This window comes from Homo sapiens, chromosome 5 (genome assembly GCF_000001405.40).
Source record: "Homo sapiens chromosome 5, GRCh38.p14 Primary Assembly".
NCBI lineage: Eukaryota > Metazoa > Chordata > Mammalia > Primates > Hominidae > Homo > Homo sapiens.
The window spans coordinates 168,411,501-168,432,653 of NC_000005.10; the positions used below are offsets into that span (position 1 = coordinate 168,411,501).

The 21,153-nt window shown below is 48.8% G+C and overlaps 1 protein-coding gene across 18 annotated transcripts in view; it reads left to right on the forward strand.

The window, feature by feature from the left end:
* The window catches only part of WWC1 (WW and C2 domain containing 1), a 180,659-nt gene that overhangs the window by 119,856 nt on the left and 39,650 nt on the right, over window positions 1-21,153 (forward strand). For 11 of the 18 annotated variants that reach the window (XM_011534485.2, XM_011534486.2, XM_011534488.2 and 8 more), the window contains 9 exons: window positions 129-186; window positions 505-629; window positions 2,848-3,090; window positions 10,508-10,597; window positions 12,033-12,568; window positions 16,533-16,641; window positions 17,207-17,287; window positions 18,637-18,723; window positions 19,752-19,944. In XM_011534485.2, coding sequence (XP_011532787.1) covers window positions 129-186; window positions 505-629; window positions 2,848-3,090; window positions 10,508-10,597; window positions 12,033-12,568; window positions 16,533-16,641; window positions 17,207-17,287; window positions 18,637-18,723; window positions 19,752-19,944 — 1,522 coding nt within the window. The remainder of the gene's footprint in view (window positions 1-128; window positions 187-504; window positions 630-2,847; window positions 3,091-10,507; window positions 10,598-12,032; window positions 12,569-16,532; window positions 16,642-17,206; window positions 17,288-18,636; window positions 18,724-19,751; window positions 19,945-21,153) is intronic. The other 7 variants (XM_005265850.2, XM_047417017.1, XM_047417018.1 and 4 more) reach the window with 1 other exon arrangement.

Sequence of the window (21,153 nt, forward strand, 5' to 3'; positions counted from 1 at the left end):
CTCCAAAGTCCTGAGATACCTAGCTTCAGGCACAGCTGGATCCAGGGACTCAGATGATGTTACCCAGACTCAGTCTCTCTCCTTTTCTTCACCCTGCTTGCCTTTATGTTGGCTTTACCCTCCAGCAGACTTTCCTGTCAATGTGGCCAGGCAACTCCCAGCAATTCGGAGCTTACACACTACCAGGTTAGCAATCCCTGTGGAAAGGGGGCCTACCTTTCCCAATAGTTTTAACTAGCCTTGGGTTTGAGACTCCCTGGCATTTTTGGGTGAACCAAGCTTTGTTACAGGACAGTTGGGGGTGGGCAAAATTAGGATTCTCTAAAGGTCTAGGCATGCGTCGTGTTTCCAGTGCTGGGAAAAGTCAGCTGTATGGGAACCAGGTGACTTGAAAGTACGAAAGGAGTGATTTCCCAAAGACAAATTGGAATATTATTAACAAAAGAAGAAGGAATTGAATACTGGTCAGGTAGAAAAAAACAGATGTCCTATGTACTATTTCAGCTCCCCCAGGCGTCCAGCAAAACAGCAAGACATCTGTATTTGGACAGCCACTTCTTGTTCTCTCTGAAGAGGACCACTCTGAACCTTGGATCTGTTCCATCCTGCAGGAATGCCTGTCTTAGATGGTCAGTCCTTGAGACACTAAAGGACTGCAGTGCTCTCTCTGGAGTTGAGCCATTAGACTTCTCATCACAGAGCTTCCTAGCTCATCTGACTTTATGCAGCCTCTTGCTTGCCCCTCCACCCGAAGCTCATTTTAGTGTAAAGGACAGAGCAGCCTGCTCAATGGGAAAGCAAGCTTCAGGACTTGAAAGAGGGAAGGGAGGTGTCTGTAATCCAAGGAGGGTCTGATCATTGGATGTCAAGTTTTGTCACACATGCATTTCTGAGAAGAGAGACTAGTTGTGTTTATCAGATTCTTAAAAGGATGTAAGGCCTGAAATTTAAGGAGCATTGACATAGGGAAAGAGAAAGTATATCCAGTAAAGCATCAGTCACTTCCCAATGTCCTGCATATGGTGGAGCCCCTGCCCGGCCTTACCATACCATTTCGTTCTCAAAGTACTGCAGAACAGCAGCTACAAAGTTGTCTCAAAGCTGATCTTGATAGATTACTGTATACATGAATGTGAATTTAAATAACTAACTACAGTCAGTCCTCTGTACCCACGGGTTCTGCATCTGCAGATTCAACCAACCAAGGATCAAAAGTATCCAGGAAAAAAAATTAAAAAACAATACAAATTTTTAAATATAGTATAACAACTATTTACATAGCATTTACATTGTGTTGGGTATTATAAGTAATCTAGAGATGATTTAAAGTATACAGGAGAGTATGCATAGGTTATATGTAAACACTATGCCATTTTATATAAAGCACTTGAGCATCCATGAATTTTGGTACCTGTGGGAGGTCCTGGAACCAATCCCCTGCAGATACCAAGGGTCAAGTGTATAAGAATTCCTCCTGGGACACTTGCCTGGGGAACAAGCAAATCTAGGTATGTTTTTCTACATGGAATTTTTGCTGCACATCATGGTAAATTTTGTCCCCAGCAGTGTTCTGATAAAATAAGAATTGGGCCACATTGTCTGCACGTAAGATTGAACTGGGAGTCCAGAGGCCTCTGGTCTCAACAAGTGTTGGCCACGTTTATGATTTGCAGTCTTAGGTGCATCATATCCTCCCTGGGCATCTGTCCAACCAGGTGAACAACTCCTATCTTAATCACCCTTTAGAGATGGGGTGGCCAGGGCGTGAGAGCTGATGGTACTTTGCAGAGGCCAAGTCCTAAAGGATGATGTCATGATTGTTGTTAGCTATTTGTAGCAGTATTCATTGTTATACTGTGGATCTTATTTTGGCCCAATGATAATAATACTGAAGATCTATATAACACCTGGCAATGTATAAAGGGCTCTTAATGCTGTGTTCTCACATAACCCACCCTATAGGTACCATATCATCTCTGCCTTATAGATGAGGATATGGAGTCTTAGAGAAGTTAAGGGATGAGGCTGCCAGCTCTTTCCTTTAACTGTTATTTAGTGCCTGCAATATACCAGTGACTGTGCTAGAAGCTTGTGATACCAAAATGCTTTCTTGAGAAATGGTCCCTTCCATCATGAAGGCCAGAGCGAGCCAGGACTCCAACTCCAGGCCTCTGACCCCAAATCCACAGTTGTTCACACAGTGCCACTACCTGTCTCTGAATTGAGAATACGCGGTCAGTAGTTGTAGTCTTAGTGGTCCAGAACTGTCAGTGACTCAGTACTTGTTATGTGCCAGACACCCTTCCCAATCATTCTGATGAATGAATTTTTCTTATCTTTAAGGCCTGGGGAATTGGCCCAATGTTACATACCTAATAAGCAGTCACATCAGGTCATAACAACAGTAGCAAGGACTTACTATGTGCCAAGTACTGTGCTTTGCAGGTTACAGATTATATCATAAAACCTTCAACCAAAATAACATGAGGAAAGAGCTTTTGTTATTCCATTCAGAGAGATGAGCAACTTGCCCAAGGCCACACAGCCAGTGCTAAGAGGTTAGTGCCTGGTGATGAATCCACATCTCTATTGTACCAGGAACAGGGCAAGGACATTGCCTTGTTCATGTCTGCACCCCATTCCTGCAGAGCCTACTTCATTGTTGGCACATGGTAGGCACCCACATGTGTTTGTTTAGAAAAAAAATAGGTTCCTTGAGATGACAAGCTGATCAAAGGAAGACAGTAACTGTCAAAGATTGCTCTGAGATGTCTGTTTCTTCATGGCATCTCCTGTTCCCTCAGTGCCATTAGGCACACCAGTCATGCTTGCTTTCTTGGCCCCCAGGATCGCCAACCTGAAGATCCAGCTGGCCAAGCTTGACAGTGAGGCCTGGCCTGGGGTGCTGGACTCAGAGAGGGACCGGCTGATCCTTATCAACGAGAAGGAGGAGCTGCTGAAGGAGATGCGCTTCATCAGCCCCCGCAAGTGGACCCAGGGGGAGGTGGAGCAGCTGGAGATGGCCCGGAAGCGGCTGGAAAAGGACCTGCAGGCAGCCCGGGACACCCAGAGCAAGGCGCTGACGGAGAGGTGGGGCTGGGGCCCCAGGGTGTGTAGGACCCTTCTCTCACTGGCAGTCTGTCCTCAGCCCCCAGATGGGGGAAGAATGAGGGGGCTCCGGGCCCCTGGGCTCCACCCTGAGCACGCTCAGTTCAGAGATCTCTCAGGTTGCCGACATAGGAAATCAGGAAAGATGGTTTGCCATCCAGTGCGCCAGCTACCCTGGAATTTTGCATGGTGAATCATGCTACCAAAAAGTCTGCTTAGGTGCAGGTGTTCAAAAATGTATCTTCTGACTCAATTAAGCCACATAACTCTATATAACTTAAAGCAGTCATTTTCCAACTTTTTGACAGTGATGCACATTTTATACTGTAACCTGATCCAAGGTTCACAAAATAGTGCATGCTCTTTCTACCTCTGATGGTCCTCTGATGTTTTCTCCCTTCTGTTGCATTTTGTTTCATGCAGTTTGTGACTCACCAAATTGATTTCACCCCATGCTAAGTAAGGGGTTGCAGTTTGCAGTTTGAAAAACACTGGTCTGGATAGGGGTTGCAAACTGGCATGCTTATAGGAGCCAAGCAGGTCACAGAAATGCTAGAGACCCACCTGGCAGTGGTCTGTGTTAGACCAGAGTGCACAGACCCCACTGGTCTAAAGCAGGTGCTGTCTCTCTGCTCCAGCAAATGGGAGTGCAGGCCTCGGGCTGCCAGAGCTGCCTGTACTTCAAACAAAAGAGTCGTTCAGATTTTTTATTTTTAAATATTGGGAACTAATCCAGAAGTTTTTTTAAAAAAATATGCAAATCAGCCTCATCTATGGGCCTGATATAACCTAAAAGCCACCGGTTTACATTCTTTAATTTAGACCTTATTATAGACATTGTCTTTGTTTATTTCCTTCAGTGTTCCCACCAACCTCCTCACCCACATTGCACCGAATGCAACACTGCGTTCACCATAGGCTTTACAAAGCTCTCCAGCTTCATGTTCATTTATTCATTCTGTTCATCAGCCAATGTTTACTCATTCATTTGAGAAACCTTTTGCTGCACAGATTGTGTGTGCAAGGCAATTTGGGGCACTCAGAAATTAACAAGACATGGTCCCTGCCCCATGACCTTTAAATCTATTCTAGTTATTTTCACCATTTTTTGGCAGGAGCCTTTATTCAGCAAGGTCCCTGCCCGTAAGGAGCTTAGAAGTGAAGCTAGAGATTTTCAAGTGTGTGTGTGTGGGGGGGGGGGGGGGGCGTGTGTGTGTGTGTGTGTGTGTGTGTGTGTGTGTGTGGCATATGTGGTGTGTGTGTGTTTGGAATATGAGCAAGGGAATTCCTTTTTCTAGTGAAATCAGAGGCAGAGGCCCAGTCTATGAAGCAAGTAAACGTGCCTACTGCCTCAGTGGAAGCAGTCGGGAGTCCTAGAGATGCTGTCTGTGCTCACTCTGTCACCCCATCATGGGGCTTCCAGAGAGCCTTTGAGCTCTAAGGCACCCAGCTTGCAGTACCATTCTAGCAACTGAGTAGGCCCCACTTGCACATGGCATGGTGCCAGGTGGATCGGGTTCCCCAAGTTCTTGCCTGGCCTCCCATGGCTTCAGAGACCCCCTTGACTCATCGATGGTAGGAATCTCTCCGCACTAGTTGCTTAGTCAGAACTGCTAACAGTGATGTCCAAAGCGTATCCATTTCCTCTCTTCCGTTCTTCATTGGCAGCAGCAGCTGATTAGCCCTGATCCACCACCAGTTGGTGGGAGAAGGAGAAGGACAGAGCTTGAATAATTGGTGTTCTGCAGCCCTTGGAAGCACCTTGCTAGAAGTCTTCTTTAGCACCACGACTCCATTCTGCTTTCTCTGGGATTTTACGCTTTGGGGATAAGGCCTGTGTCTATATGCCCGCATGCCTTTAGTGTTCGTTGAAAGAATAAATGGTTAGCTGGCCTAGGTAGACCCTTACTGGGCCTCTGTGTATATCTCCTGGTCTTTATACCCATTCCCTGGGTCCCTCACTTGCTCCCAGACCCTGTAATTGCCACTGGGAAGCCCTTAGCTATTCATCATCCCCACAGCCAGCAGCTGAAGAGAACAGATTCATGGCAGCTTCACTCCTTGTTGGGTCAAAAGCAATACGCTTCTCACTTGCTGACCTTGAGCAAGTCATTGACCAATTTGGGTTTCACTTGCATAATAGGGAAAAAACAGGATACATTAAGTCTCACTTAACATTTGTTAGTAGGTTCTTGGAAAACTGTGACTTTAAGCAAAACTACATACAATGAAACCAATTTTTTTCCATCAACTTTATGTTTTATTTTTATTTTTTTCGAGATGGAGTCTTGCCTTGTCACCCAGGCTGGAGTGCAGTGGCACGATCTCGGCTTACTGCAACTTCCACCTTCCGAGTTCAAGCAATTCTCCTGACTTAGCCTCCCGAGTAGCTGGGATTACAAGTGTGCACCACCACACCCAGCTAATTTTTGTATTTTAGTAGAGGTGGGGTTTCACCATGTTGGCCAGGCTGGTCTCAAACTCCTGACCTCAGGTGATCCACGTGCCTCGGCCTTCCAAAGTGCTGAGATTACAGGCATGACCCACTGCACCCAGCTCTATCAACTTTATTAAAAAATGACATTTAAGAATTTGATGTACATCATTTTGCTTAAAGTTACAGTTAGCAAGAACCTATCTACAATGTTGAGGATTTACTGTAATTACATTAAATACATATATGGTCTGAAGGCAGGCAGTTAGACGAGGCTGTGAATTGAGGCTCTTCCCTTCTGTAAAATTGTTGGTTTCTTGAAACTCGAATTGGAGGCTCTTAGGGACCCCTAGGATATACCACATGTAAAAGCTCCCATCCTGTGCCAGACAGTAGCCTATATAATCTCATTTAAACCTCCCAGGATCCCTGAGGTTAATCCCCATTTTAAAAATGAGGAAACTGAGGCTCACCCGAGATCCCTAAGTGCCAGAGCTGGGATTAGAAGACCACAAGTTTGCTAACCCCAGAGGCTGTGCTCCCTTTAGGATGCTCGCCACTCAGAAGGCCTTCTGTTATTGCCTTCAACCCCATCTTTCAAAGGTCTGCTGGCTCCTCAGGAGCAGTGAGTTCACATAGCTAGTACAGGGAGGCCAGAACCTCCACTCCTCTGCAGCTGCTGAGCGGGCAGCTCGGAGGGCCTGGTAGGAGGGTGCTTGGGGCAAATGCAGTGGTAGGGAAACTGGAGGGCATGCAGGCAGGCAGCCATGTATGCCCTAAGAGGAGTCTAAGGAGGAAGCCCACAGGAATGGGGTACCATGCTCATGGCTGTGGGTCTCCCACAGTGGGGAGACGGGAAAGCCGCCCCAGCTGTCTTTGTGTCTGCAGCTGTTTCCTTCCAGCTCCATGTCAGTCTGTCTGTGTTCATCCTTCTGACTCATATTCTGTTTCCCTTCTGTCTTTGTTTCTCATGTGTGTGTATCTTTATTTTTAGTGTCTCTGTTTCTTTCTCTCTGTCTCCCCTCGCTCCTCTTTCTCTATTCTCTGTCTCTCAAAATGGGATTATTATGCTCCTCATCTTCACACAACAGCCTCACATTCAAGGTGCCTTTGAGGACAGGAATAGACACATCCAGGAGAGGCCGACTGCAGGACCTGCCAAACCCCGCTCACAAATCAGTCAGACTCACAGGCATCCAAACAAACCTCATCCTACCCTCTGCCTCCCCCTCCTTCCCGAGGGCCTTCCCCACTGCTCCCCAGAGCTGGTGTGCAGTCATGCAGGATACTTGCTAGCGCACAGGCTCCCTGGCCCACCCCAGGGACCGATTCTTCCGGCCTGAGATGCAGCCCAGGTTCTTACATTTTTAACCAGCACCCAAGGTGCTGAAATACAGCTTGTGGGGACTCCAGCCCCACCTTCTGGATCCTCTGCCTGCCTCCATGCTTGATGCGTTCTTGGCCTCCCAGCGTGTGCCAGGCATCTCACACATGTGCCATCTATCCTGCAAAACCCAATGCCACTGGGAGGTGGCCTCGGCACCTGTGCATTGCTAGCAGTAGCTAGCCCCTAATGCCAGGACGTCATGGCAGCCCAACTCCCAGACCCCTCATCATCCTCTTGAGGCTTCACTGGGGACCCACATTTACTCCCAGCACACACCTCTGTGGCTTTTCTCCCACAGAGAAGAGGAAAACCAAGGTAAAAATGGTGAGCGCCAGCTGCTCCTTGATCCTGGACCTCAACTGTTCCTGAGCTTTCCTTTTATACTGGGTCAAGAGATTCCACAGCCTTGTTCATTGTGTTGAAAGTCAAGGATTTTGTTTATTACGGGTTCCATCTGCCAACCCACTGTGCACCCCCACCCCAGCCTCAGGCAGGACTCTAGAAGAACAGTGCCAGGGATTGAGCTGACCAAGAACCATGCCAAGGCCACTCTGCCTGCTGCTCCTGTTGCCTTGTCTGTGATTTCACGGATTTAGTTGTCCAGTAACAAGCCCGACCCACCCCTCAACACTTTTCCGTTGTGTTTAGAGCAAGCTCTGGTCTTTACTGCAGGGCGTGTGCTGGGGGCTTGGATGTGTGGGTAGAGGGATGGCATGACTTGGCTTTTCCATGGAAATGAGCCCTTTCTCCCAGGCCCCAGGCTGGGTTAGCTGTATCCTAGTTTCACTCCCTAGTCCAGGGATCAACTAGTCAGTCATCCCCTCTTCAGCAGGTTGACATGAGGGGATGGAGGCCAACAGTGGAACACATCTGTCCATGGAAGGTATAATAATATGCAGGTCTTTCAGCAGAGCTCATAAACTGTGCCTGGCTTCATCTGGAGAAAAAGTCATCCATTCAGCAAATATTGAGCATGTCTACATGGTGGGCACTGTGCTGGGTGCTAGGTGCTGGGTGAGCAAGACACAGCCTCTGCCTCTCTGCCATCCCCATACAGTGCAGCAACTTGCAAACCTTGGTGTGCCTAAAGATCACCTGGGAGGCTTAATGAAAAGAGAGATTTCTGGGCCCTACCCCTGGGCTTTTTGATTCAGCAGGTCAAAGTAGGGCCCAGGAATGTGCATTTCAATAAGCACTCTCCGCTTTCTGATGCAGGTAGTCTGTGGGCCACAGGCGGAGAAAGACTAGTCTAGTAGACACATGAGAGCAGCCCAGGTCACGAGTTTGTGAGGGCACAGGCTTGCTCGATAGGGCCCTTTATTTTGTAGTGGGCCCACTCCAGGGGTTGGAGAGCCATTCCAGGGGCAAAGACACACCCTGGAGTCCACCCAAGCTGCCCTCCATGGGAGGTTTCAGGAGAGGTCAGGGCTGAGATATGGTCCAAAAGCCAGAGGTCTCTTCCAAACACAAGGATTTGTCTCCAGGGAGATAGTTTACTGAATTGGGCTTTGGTGTCAGGCATGCCTGGGTGAAAATCTTTGCTTCCAGTTCTGTGACATTCCGTCACATCCACTAACTTCTCCCGACTCTCTGGTCCCATTCTCTCCAGCTCCTTTGCTGACTGTTGCCAGTCCATCCAACCTCAGAATGTTGTGTGTACTCAGAGCTTGGTCCTAGGCCTTCCCTTGTTTTTGCTTCTGTATTTTGCCCTAAGATGGTGCGTGAGTCTACTAGGGCTGCCATAACAACGTACCACAGACTGACTGGGTGACTTAAACAGTGGACATTTATTTTCTCACAGTCTGGAAGCTAAAAGTCCAAGATCAGATGTCAGTGGGGTTGCTTTCTTCTGAGGTCTCTTCCCTTGGCTTGTAGGTGGCCTCCTCCTCCCTCCGTTTCACATGGTCTTCCCCCGTGCCTGTGCCCTAATCTCCTCTTAGAAGGACACCAGTCATACTGGATTAGAGTCTGCCCTACTGACCTCATTTTACCTTAATTACTTCTTAAAAGCCCTATCTCCAAATATAATCACATTTGGAGGTACTGCTGCTTAGGACTTCGATGTAGGATTTCGGGGGACAAAAATCAAGCCAGAACAGATGGTAATCTCATTCAGGTGGTGATCCATCTGATAGGGACCCCCCCGCCCCGACCTTTAGAGCAGCCCACCTGTTCAGTATTCATACCCACATATCCATAATAGAGCTCTTCTCTTCCCCCGGGATCCTCTGCCTCAGCCTTTTCCTCTTAGCAGATGCCATCTGCAGGGCCACTTGGCTGCCCGTAGCAGTAACCGCACAGTCTTCCACATTTACTCCCTCAGCCTCAGCTGCTCCTGCAGCCCAGGCACTGTCTCTGTCTCTGCATTGCTCAAGCCTCCACCATCTCGGTTACACCTCACAGCCACCCTCCCCGCCTTCAGTCTTCAGCCTCCTGCCCATTGTCCTCCCCACAGTCATGGTGACCTCAAGATGATAAGGTCTTTGCTAAAGCCCCTGCTTGGAATGTTCTTCCCTCCTGCACTTTTCCTAGCCAACTGCTGTCCATTATCCATCCTTAAATTTCTCTACTAGTCAGGAATCTAACTGCTGCAAGAAACAGCCCCCAAAGTCTCCGTGGCTTCATACAACGGGTTTATTTTTTGTTCATATAATGTCTAATTGGGTATGTCCAGTTAACAGGCAGCCTTCCATGTGGTCATTCAGGAACTCAGGCTCTTTCCATCTGTGACGCCTCCCCTTTGAGTCCACAAGAGTCCATGCAACAGACAGTAAAGAAGACACACACACTTTTCTTAACTACTAGTGCTCACATCCCATTGGCCAGAACTTGGTCATACGCCCTGCCCACCCGGCCACAGGGAAGGCTGGGAAAATGGTGGAGGCAGGGTACACACCACCAGTCTCAGCCACAGAGTCACTTGACTGGAAGAGGCTCACCTGCCAGTTCAAATTGGGCCTCTCCTTTTGTGTTCTTTTCTACCATTTGTACTTTTTCTTCATGGACCTTGTCACACACTGTGTTAATTAGATATTTGAGTATTTCTTTAATATCGGTTCTCCCCAGTAGAATGTAAGCCCTATAAGAACAGAAACAAGTCCTACTGTGCTCACTCACTACTTTATCCCCAGTGCCACAGGCAGGGTCCAGTACAAAACGGGCATTCAGTAAATATGAGCTGAAAGATGGAGGAAGGAAGAGAAGGAGGGTATGGTTGGGTGAAATCCTAATTCTGCCACTAATTCCACAGCTTTAGGTAAATTATACAACTCTAAGGGCCTCGATTTCCTCTTATGTAAAGTGGTAAAAATCATTCTTACTATGCAGCATTATTGTGTGACTGAATTAAGGCAGTGTCCTAAGGTTCCCAGCAGAGTGCCTGATATATATATATAGTGGGTGAGTGATATTGCAGTTATCATAGGATTATAATATATGTGGAAGCTCTAGCTCCCCAGATGCCGTGGTCAAATGCTTTACGGAAAGTTCTTGTGCCTGTGGGTCTGGGTGTACATGGGTAAGAGTGCATGCCTGTGCTTCCTTTTGGTGCATCCCTCGCATGCTTTCTCTCCTTCCAGGTTAAAGTTAAACAGTAAGAGGAACCAGCTTGTGAGAGAACTGGAGGAAGCCACCCGGCAGGTGGCAACTCTGCACTCCCAGCTGAAAAGGTGAGTGGTGGGCGGTGAGGCCACTGCTCCCCTGGGCATGGCCAGACATGGGTGTCCCCAGTGTCCCAGCCCAGGCTCTACCCTTCACTTGTCCTCCGTGGCTTGAGAGTGGATGTTTAGAAGCATAGCAAATGGATTGTCAGCAGACTCGGGCGTGGCCTGGTGTAGCTAGGAATAGGGGTCTTGACCTCTCCAGACTGATAGCACAAAGAAGGCCCCAGGCAGGTAATAGGTAGTCTTAAGAGACTCGGCTGGGTGTCATGGCTCACACCTGTAATCCCAGCACTTTGGGAGGCCAAGGTGGGTGGATCGCTTCAGCTCAGGAGTTTGAAGCCAGCCTGAGCAACATGGCGAAACTAAAAATACAAAATTAGCTGGGTGTGGTGGTGCATGCCTGTGGTCCCAGCTACTCAGGAGGCTGAGGTGGGAGGATGACTTGAGCCCGGGAGGAGGCTTACCGTGAGCCGAGATTGTGCTACTGCACTCCAGCCTGGGTGATAGAGCCAGACCTTGTCTCCAAAAAGAAAAAAAAAGCCTTAGGAAACTCACACTGCCACCTACCTGCACAACACAGAGAATGTAGCCTCAGACCTGGGCCTCCATGAACAACAGTGCATCAGTGGAATTCAATAACATTTTGTTCCATTAGATTTTTTTCTAATGGTGGTCTTCTCTTTGTAGTAAGTGATACTGCTTTTCAAATTACACTTAGGATGTAAAGTTTCCTTTTAATATAGATGTTTTAAAGTATTAAAACAGTGAGTTGGGGCAGGCGTGGTGGCTTACGCCTGTAATCCTACCACTTTGGGAGGCCGACGCAGGCGGATTGCCTGAGCTCAGGAGTTCGAGACTAGCCTGGGCAACACGGTGAAACCCCCTCTCTACTAAAATACAAAAAATTAACCGGGCGTGGTGGCAGGTGCCTGTAGTCCCAGCCACTTGGGAGGCTGAGGCAGGAGAATTGCTTAAACCCAGGAGGCGGAGGTTGCAGTGAGCCGAGATCGCCCCACTGCACTCCAGCCTGGCGACAGAGCAAGACTCCATCCCCCCCCAAAAAAAAAAAAAAAAAAAAAAACACAGTGAGTTGATTTCAAGAAAGATATTAAGAAATCTTTATTACATAATGGATTCAACTATGAAAACATATCATACAAATGCAACGTAGCCAATTGGAGCTTTGGGAAACACAGATTTAGAGGAAAAAGTGGACTTTTAAGGCAGCTATAACTTGAGTCCAAAGCCCAGCTCTGCCATGTCTTGATTATGTGGCCTTCTTGGGGTATCAGTTTTCCATGAAGTGGGGGTGAAGGGTCTACCCTAGAGATTGCCAAGCAAGTCTAGTGAGATCATGGTGCTTTCCAGAGCTCAGCAGAAGGTCTCAGGGGGCCCACTTCACTGTGTGCATCTCACTGTCCTTCCCCTCCCTGTGTCCCAGTCTCTCAAGCAGCATGCAGTCCCTGTCCTCAGGCAGCAGCCCCGGATCCCTCACGTCCAGCCGGGGCTCCCTGGTTGCATCCAGCCTGGACTCCTCCACTTCAGCCAGCTTCACTGACCTCTACTATGACCCCTTTGAGCAGCTGGACTCAGAGCTGCAGAGCAAGGTGGAGTTCCTGCTCCTGGAGGGGGCCACCGGCTTCCGGCCCTCAGGCTGCATCACCACCATCCACGAGGATGAGGTGGCCAAGACCCAGAAGGCAGAGGGAGGTGGCCGCCTGCAGGCTCTGCGTTCCCTGTCTGGCACCCCAAAGTCCATGACCTCCCTATCCCCACGTTCCTCTCTCTCCTCCCCCTCCCCACCCTGTTCCCCTCTCATGGCTGACCCCCTCCTGGCTGGTGATGCCTTCCTCAACTCCTTGGAGTTTGAAGACCCGGAGCTGAGTGCCACTCTTTGTGAACTGAGCCTTGGTAACAGCGCCCAGGAAAGATACCGGCTGGAGGAACCAGGAACGGAGGGCAAGCAGCTGGGCCAAGGTAGAGAGCACCATACCCAGAGGGTGGGAACCAGGAGGAGGGAAAGAGATACTCTGTGCTCAGAACCCCCCAGTGATCATTCTAGTCGATATTTACTGACTGCTTCTGTGTGCTGGGTCTTTGTATGGCAAGTATATTTATTCAGTGGATGTTTATTAACTCAGTATTTTTGAGGTCCTGTGTGAAGGGTTTTCAGTAGTAGATTCTGTCCTCCAACAGACATTTAGCACCTCATAAAACTAAATGTCAGGTCATCCTGTGCTAATGGATATACATGGATTCATCTATTCATGATTATAGATATGCTGGGTGCCAGGCACTGGGTTGGTCACTAAGGATTCTGTGTTGAAGACAGACAGGGTCCCTGTTCTCATGAAGCTTATGTTCAAATGGAGGCACAGGGAATAAACCTGCAACCAAACAAGCACTACAAAGAAAATAAAACAGGGAATGTGATCCAGCCTTTCTGGTTAGAGGTGGGACTGCCAGGGCAGGTTGGGTTGTGAAAGAAGATGACATTTGAGGGTGTCTTGAATGGTGAGATGGAGCCAGCCTTGGGAAAAGCAAGAGCAAAATCTCTGAGGTCAGAGCAAGGGACTAGAAGGGGAGCCAGGAAGCCATGAGTCAGAGGTAGGGGGTTACCAGTGAGGCTGGAGAACTAGGCAAGAGTCCAGATCCTGAAAGGCCTGGTGGGCTGTGCTAAGGAGTTTGGATTTTATCCTAATTGCACTGGGGACCCATGTGACCGTTTGAAGCCAGGAATGATATGATCTGACTCCCATTCTGCATGGGGTCAGAAAGAACATTTTGGTGTTGGCCGGAATTTAAGTTGGAATCTTCAAAATAGAAGATGATGCTGACATTGACAGCTAAGATTTATTAGGAGAAAACCTTTTTATCTTTAGCAGCAACCACATAATAAATCATAATAGTTAACTTTTATTGGGGATATATTATGAGTTGGGTAATGTGCTTGATACATGGTGAAATCAGTTATTTCTATTCTGTCCATTTCACTGGTGAGGAATTGGAGATTCAGAGAGGTGATGTCACTTGCCTTAGGTCACCCAGCCAACAAGTGAGGAAGCAGGGATAGGAACCTGAGTGTTTCTGGCCCCGGAACCCAACCCCCTTATTGTCATGCCTTAGGCTGGGAGGCAGTTCAGCATGCACATTCATGCCAACTCCTGGTGCTTGGGGCCCCACCAACCCCATCTGGCTCTGGGTGTGAAGGTCAGGACTGAGTAGGATGCTCAGTAAACTCACCTGGGCCTTCTTGGCTTTCCTGGCCACAGTAAAAATAGCTCACAATAATCATAGCTATGATATATAGCGTACAGGTGTTTAGGATTTAGGTACTTCTCTGCATATTTACTCATTTAAGCCTTACAACACCTCTGGGAAGTGGGTGCTATTTTTAATCTCCTTTTTTTTTTTTTTTTGAGATGGAGTCTCACTCTGTCACCCAGGCTGGAGTGCAGTGGCACCATCTGGCTCACTGCAACCTCCACCTCCTGGGTTCAAGCGATTCTCCTGCGTCAGCCTCCCGAGTAGCTGGAATTACAGGTGCACATCACCATGCCTGGCTAATTTTTTTTTTTTGTATTTTTAGTAGAGGCGGGCTTTCACCATGTTGGCCAGGCTGGTCTCGAACTCCTGACCTCAGTTGATCCACCCACCTTGGCCTCCCAAAGTGCTGGGATTACAGGCGTGAACCACCAAGTCCAGCCCCTTTTATCCCCATCTTAAAGATGAAAAAAGTGAGGCACAGTGAGGTTAAAAGACTTGTCTGAGGTTAGTCCCACAGAGTGAAATGGCAAGACCAGGACTGGCACAAGGACCACCTGCTCAGAACGCACACTGTTATCCATGTGCTGAGTTCTGTCTACAAAAAGCTGGTGCTCCTGGCTCCAGGTGAGGCCAGCTAGAAGCAGCCAGACCCATGTCAGCTCTGTGGCTCCAGGCATGGGCAGGAGTGGTGCTGCTGTGCCCAGAATTATCCATGTGTGTACAAGGGCCAGTGGGAGCATGGTAGGGAAATGAGGTTTCCTTGTTAACGAAAGGCTTTGAGTGCCAGTGGTTTCCTTAGAAGAGGAGCCGAGAGATCCCTGGGTTTCCCTCATCAGGAAGGGAGTCTTGCTGAGTGCTCTCAAAATAAAAGCAAGCGCCCTACTATAGCAGGTGGCAAGCCTCAGAAAATTGTTCCCTGGAGAGGAGGGGGTGCAGGTGGAACCTCTAACAAGGCTCAAAGAGCATGCCTCTGATATCAATATTAAGCCAAGTCAGGACACTCAGACCCCAGCTATGTCCTGTGAAGTGACCCCCTCCTCTCCCCTCCCTAACAGTGTCTTTGGGGCTTGTGGGCCTCAGACAGCACATTAGGCTGGGCACACACAGGTCTCGGGATGGCATTTCCTTCATGCCATCTCCAGAAGCCTTCCCTGCAGCAAGCAATGCCAGGCAGAGCTTAGACGCTAAGCAGGTTATGTGATTAGTGCCGCTGTTCAGTCAGCAGACAAATTAATCTCCTTAAGTGGTTTAGTGGAGGGTGGAGATGCGTGGGTCTGAAAGCAGGAGGTCTCCGCGGGCTCAGCAGGCATGGGACGCAGGCTCAGCTTCCCCATCACCAGCACTTGCAGTCTCCCAGACCCGCCTTGTCACCCATCGCCGTCCCCGGCCTGCCATGCCCTGGACTCTGTGCCCCTCAATGCTGCGAGCCCTTGCCCTGCTCCGGTCTGCCCGCAGGTGCTCAGAGGTGTTAGCTGTGAGGTTGTAAGATCTGGATCTGGCCTTCCCCGCTGCAAGGAGGGCAGGAATTGTCTTATTCATCTTTGTAGTTCTGAACATGGCAATGGGCCTGGCACATCGTGAGTGATCATTACTTGGGCAAGGAAGGAATGTGCAGCACGTGTTGAGTGCTTAGTTATGAGCCTCAGATCAGAGACTTTCAAGGGCCCCTGTTAAGGTTAGGGAAGAGGAGGAGCTGAATTCGGAGTGGAAAGGGATAGGCAGTGGAAGAACGGGTGCTTAATCTCTCCCTTCTCTGTCCTGAGGGTCCAGGGGCTGTTATTTTGCCCCAGGTGGGTAGGGATGGATCTGTTAGGTTGATGCAAAAGTAATTGCAGTTTTTGCCATTGAAAGTATGGATATCTACAGTGATAGGAACAGTAGTGGCAATAAGGATAGTTGTAATGAGTTTTGCAGAGCACTTTGCCTGCCTGCACCAATCTCTATATTAAGGACTTCCCTTATAATGTCTCGCTGAGTCCTGTCAACAGCCCTATAAGTAGGTATTATTATCCAAGTTTTACAAATGAGGCATCTGAGGCTTAACAGGATTAAGTCAGTATCTCAAGGTCATGAAGCAGTGAGTGGTGGAGCCGGATTTGAATCCAGGCAGTTCGACTCAAGAGCCTGGGATGGTAAAACACAAAATCACATGTGACTCCTTCCATCACCCTAAAGCAAACTTTTTTTTAATTTTTTTTTTTTTTTTTTTTTTTTGCTTTAGCATTTAGAGGTGGTTGGAATTTGGTGGAACCGTCTGTCTTCCATAGAGAGTGTATCAAAATTGGGAGTTCAGGCTCCCCGAATCCCAAAGTGTTGGGATTACAGTCGCTGACGCCTGTAATCCCAACACTTTGGAAGGCCAAAGCAGGCAGATCGCCTAAGACCAGGAGTTCAAGACCAGCCTGGGCAATATGGCAAAACCCCATCTCTACAACAAAATAATAATTCAAAAATTAGCTGGGTATGGTGGCACATGCCTGTAGTTCCAGTATTTGGGAGGCGGAGGTGGGAGGATCACCAGAACCCGAAGTGGTCGAGGCTGCAGTGAGCCATGATTGTGCCACTGCACTCCAGCCTGGATGAGTGAGACCCTGCCTCAAAAACAAAACAAAATTGGGAGTCGCAAAGGCAGTTTCCTGGTTCCTGAACCTGCCTTTCCATTTTCCTTCCCTAGCTGTGAATACGGCCCAGGGGTGTGGCCTGAAAGTGGCCTGTGTCTCAGCCGCCGTATCGGACGAGTCAGTGGCTGGAGACAGTGGTGTGTACGAGGCTTCCGTGCAGAGGTAGGTGTCTGGGTGCTGGCTCTCTCTGTGGCCCTGTAAGCCATGAACTCTGAATATCCAGAGCCTAGGCCTGTGGAGAGGCTTAGGTTTTGGCCCCCACAGTGTGTGGGAGGAGCCCCAAGAGGGCATGACCCCACCTTCCTCTTGGCTGCCCAAGGCACAGACAGCATAACTTTTCCTGGGGTTAGAGATGCTTCAGGTTTGGGGGAGTGCTAGTTCTGTGGTAGCTACGAAAAAGGTATATGGCTAAGGAGCAAGCACTAGAGAAAGGGAAGGCCCCTTAAGAGAGGAGTCCAAGCTGGGCATAGTGGTGTGAGTCTGTAATCCCAGCTACTTGGGAGGCTTCAGTGGGAGGATCACTTGATACAAGGAGTTCGAGACCAGCCTGGGCAACATAGTGAGCCCCCATCTCTAAAAAAAATTTTTTTTAATTAAAATTTAAAAAAGGACCTGAAGGGAAGCTGAGCAAACCCCAACTTTCCTTCCTGGGGATGTAACCTCAGCCTCCCAGAATAGTTTGTTCACTGTAGGGAAGCCTAACTCCTCCTCCCCTGTTGCCTTTCAGACTGGGTGCTTCAGAAGCTGCTGCATTTGACAGTGACGAATCGGAAGCAGTGGGTGCGACCCGAATTCAGATTGCCCTGAAGTAAGTGACGAGGACGAGGAGGACAGAAGGAACGGTCTGTGTGGGGTCCCTTCTTCATCCACAGCGTTCCCCAGCATTTACCTTCACAGCCGCCCAGGGTGGAAGGCAGCACCAGCAGGACCTGCTGGCCATTGCAGCTTCTTAACTGAAGGGATGCTGATTCGTTCCTCACCTCCCAGCCATCCGCTTTACAGATAGGAGAAATGAGGTTGGAGAAATGGGGTTTTAAAAGACCTTATGACTTGGCCCAACTCACTGAGCTGGCTGGTAGCAGAGCCAGGACTGGGACTGAGACCTCCTGCCTCTCAGTGTGTTTGTTCATTGTTGCTGTGGCTTTTGTCTTTCCATCCCATCTAGGTTTCATTGATCTGGATGGAAGTTGATCACTGGGGGCTGCAGCCCAGATTGGGTCAATACACACATGGTTGTTCTTTTTGTTTTCTTTTGTTGGGGGATGATATGATCTCAATTTTTTTTTTTTTTTTTTTTTGAGACAGGGTCTCACCTGTCACCCAGGCTGGAGTGCAGTGGTGTGATCTCAGCTCGCTGCAACCTCTGCCTCCTGGGTTCAAGCGATTCTCCTGCCTCAGCCTCCCAAGTAGCTGGGATTACAGGTGTGTGCCACCACGCCCGGCTAACTTTTGTATTTTTAATAGAGATGGAGTTTCACCATGTTGGCCAGGCTAGTCTCAAACTCCTGACCTCAAATGATCTGCCCGCCTTGGCCTCCCAAAGTGCTGAGATTACAGGCATGAGCCACCACACCTGGCCTTCAATATTTTTTAATAGGAATTAGTTGACAACATTTCCATATCATGAAATTTCACCCGCATTTATGGGTTCTTTTTAAAAATTCAGACAACTGGCTGGGTGTGGTGGCTCACACCTTTAATCCTGACACTTTGGGAGGCTGAGGCAGAGGAATCACTTGATTCCAGGAGTTCAGGACCAGCCCAGGCAACATGATGAAACCCCATCTCTACTAAAAATACACAAAATTAGCTGGGTGTGGTGGTGAACACCTGTAGTCCTAGCTACTTGAGAGGCTGAGGTGGGAGGATCACCTGAGCCTGGGAGGTCGAGGCTACCATGAGCCCCGATCATGCCACTGCACTCAACCTGGATGACAGAGTGAGACCCTGTTTCAAAACAAAAAAAAAATTTTCAAACAATTGGCAGCTCTAGCTCTACATCCCTGCATGGCAGCAAAGCACTGGGCCTGTGCTCTAGAGCTCACCATAGGCCCCAGGGCAGCCAACAGCCACGTCCTGTGACTTTTAATGGAGAGAAGGAATGAGAGAGATGAGTGTGTTACTAATAGGTACTTCATATGCCCCTTTTCATTTCAGGTATGATGAGAAGAATAAGCAATTTGCAATATTAATCATCCAGCTGAGTAACCTTTCTGCTCTGTTGCAGCAACAAGACCAGAAAGTGTGAGTATGTAGCTGGACAGGTGTATTTCATACCCTAACCCTCTGGAGTTACCCCTGGGGGTCACTTTTCTGCCCTGTCCTGATCCAGTTATGGGCCTTGTCAAGGCACTGTGGGTTTGTACTGCATATGACTGTGATGCTGAATGTCGGTGCTGTGCATGTGAATACAGGCACAACGGCAAGCACACCAACTGTAAAGACAAGCACTCTCTAGATGACTGTGTGAATTCCTGCCCCATTACGTGCTGAGCACCTGCTGCATGCCAGCTCTAGGAATGGGGTGGTGAGCAGATCCTTCCTGGGCCCTACCCTCCTGGACTTTGAGCCTCATGGAGAAGAATGGTCACAGTCTGTTTTATCTTCTCCTAAGCTCAAGTGTTTCTTGCAGAGAGAGATAGGTCTTCTGTTTCCAAGAGTCAACACCAGTCACTGCTTCTCTTGGAGGGGTGTGACTGCGTGTTACCTTGATGCTGGTAGGATGCAAACACCTGCTCTGTCTGCCTGTGGGCTCCTCCCATGGTAGATGGGTTTATCCTTTATTGCACTCATCTGCCTCCAAGTTTTCTCTGATCGTAAGGCCTGGAGGGTGGCAACAGAAGCTTATGTGTCTGTGGTCTACACTCAGCCAGCCTGTGAGGGTGGCACATGTGGGAAGAAGAAAGGGCAGGAAGGCGGACAAAACGGAAGGAAGACAAGATGGGATGCTTGGGTCAATTTCAGTCTTCTGCCCACACAGACAGTGCCAGGCTGAATAGCCTCCTCCATAGCTCACTGGTACTCATGCAGGGGCATCTGTGGGATAATGCCTAGAAGTGAAGGGTCTGGACCAAAGGACAAATGCATCTGGAATTTTGTTCGATTTGTCAAAGTTCCTTCCAGTGTATAGGGGCCTGATTCCCCAGATTCCTCACTTCTACAAACTCTCATCCACTGTTGTTTGCTTAGGGATTTCAGCAGCTGTTTAGTCCAACATTTTAGCCCCAGACATGGGCTGACCCAAGATTTCCTGCGGTTCTGTCTCCCTCTAGGAATATCCGCGTGGCTGTCCTTCCTTGCTCTGAAAGCACAACCTGCCTGTTCCGGACCCGGCCTCTGGACGCCTCAGACACTCTAGTGTTCAATGAGGTGTTCTGGGTATCCATGTCCTATCCAGCCCTTCACCAGAAGACCTTAAGAGTCGATGTCTGTACCACCGACAGGAGCCATCTGGAAGAGTGCCTGGTAAGGGCCGTGTCTGGCTGGCTGGCTGGCTGGCTGGCTGGCTGGCTGGCTGGCTGGCTGACCGGCCTTCTGTGTTTATGGGGATTGGTCTACCCTGAGCTTCAGGAAGAAGGTTCGAAGGAGACGCAGGTTGTGCTATCAATCAGGCTCATCTTGGATTCTAGGCAGCGAGGCTTCCACAGGTGAATGTTGTTCTCAGACTTAGGGTGGGAGGGAAGGAGCTCTTTCACAAGAGGAAGAGTAATGGACCTGAAAGTGCCTTTTAAAACTGCCAGAACCTGGAAAAAGCCACATACTGCAGCTTTACTATACAGCATGAGAGATTAGATAAGAAGCACAGACTATGGCTGTGTGGTGGCTTATATCTGTAATCCCAACCCTTTGGGAGGCCAAGGCCAGAGGATCACTCAAGTGCAGGAGTTCGAAAGCAGCCTGGGCAACACAGCAAGACCCCATCTCTACAAAAAATAAAATTAGCCAGGCATAGTGGTGCATGCTTGTAGTCCTAGCTACTCTGGAGGTTGAGATGGGAGGATCCCTTGAGCTGCAATGAGCTGATCATGCCGCAGCATTCTGGCCTGGGCAACAGCAGAACCCTGTGTCAAAAAAAAAAAAAAAAAAAGCACAGAGTAATGAAAGCAAACACATAGGCATTCACATCCCACCTTTACCACTTGCTGTATAGCTGGATGACCTTGGGCAAGGTACTTAACATCTCTGATCCTCATTTTTCTTATCCCTAAAATGCAAATGATAATGCCTCCATCATGCCCACTGGAAGAATCTTTATAAGGATTGAGATAGCACCCGTAAAACACCTATTCAAGTGTCTGATCCACAGTGGGTTCTCGTTTAGTGGGGCCATTGCCAGCCTCCTCCCTGAAACTGACCTTCTCCGGCTTCCATCTCTCACTGCATTGGCAGGAGTCAGGACTGGGGATGAAGTAGCCCAAGTACATTTTGTCCTAAGAGACAGGCAGACCCAAGTGCAGACAGATACTCAGCTTTCCCATCTGTAGAAGGGGGATTTATATAATAGCTAACTCGGGCTTGTGATGTACAAGTGAATTAGAAGAAGTAAAGGGCTTTGTTAACCCTGATGCCATTTAGTGTTAGAATATTTTAATGATAACTCAACTGTGGGCACAAAGGAGCCCAAGTGTGGGCATTATACCTAGAAGGTCGCTCCACTCATGCTCAGATCTGTAC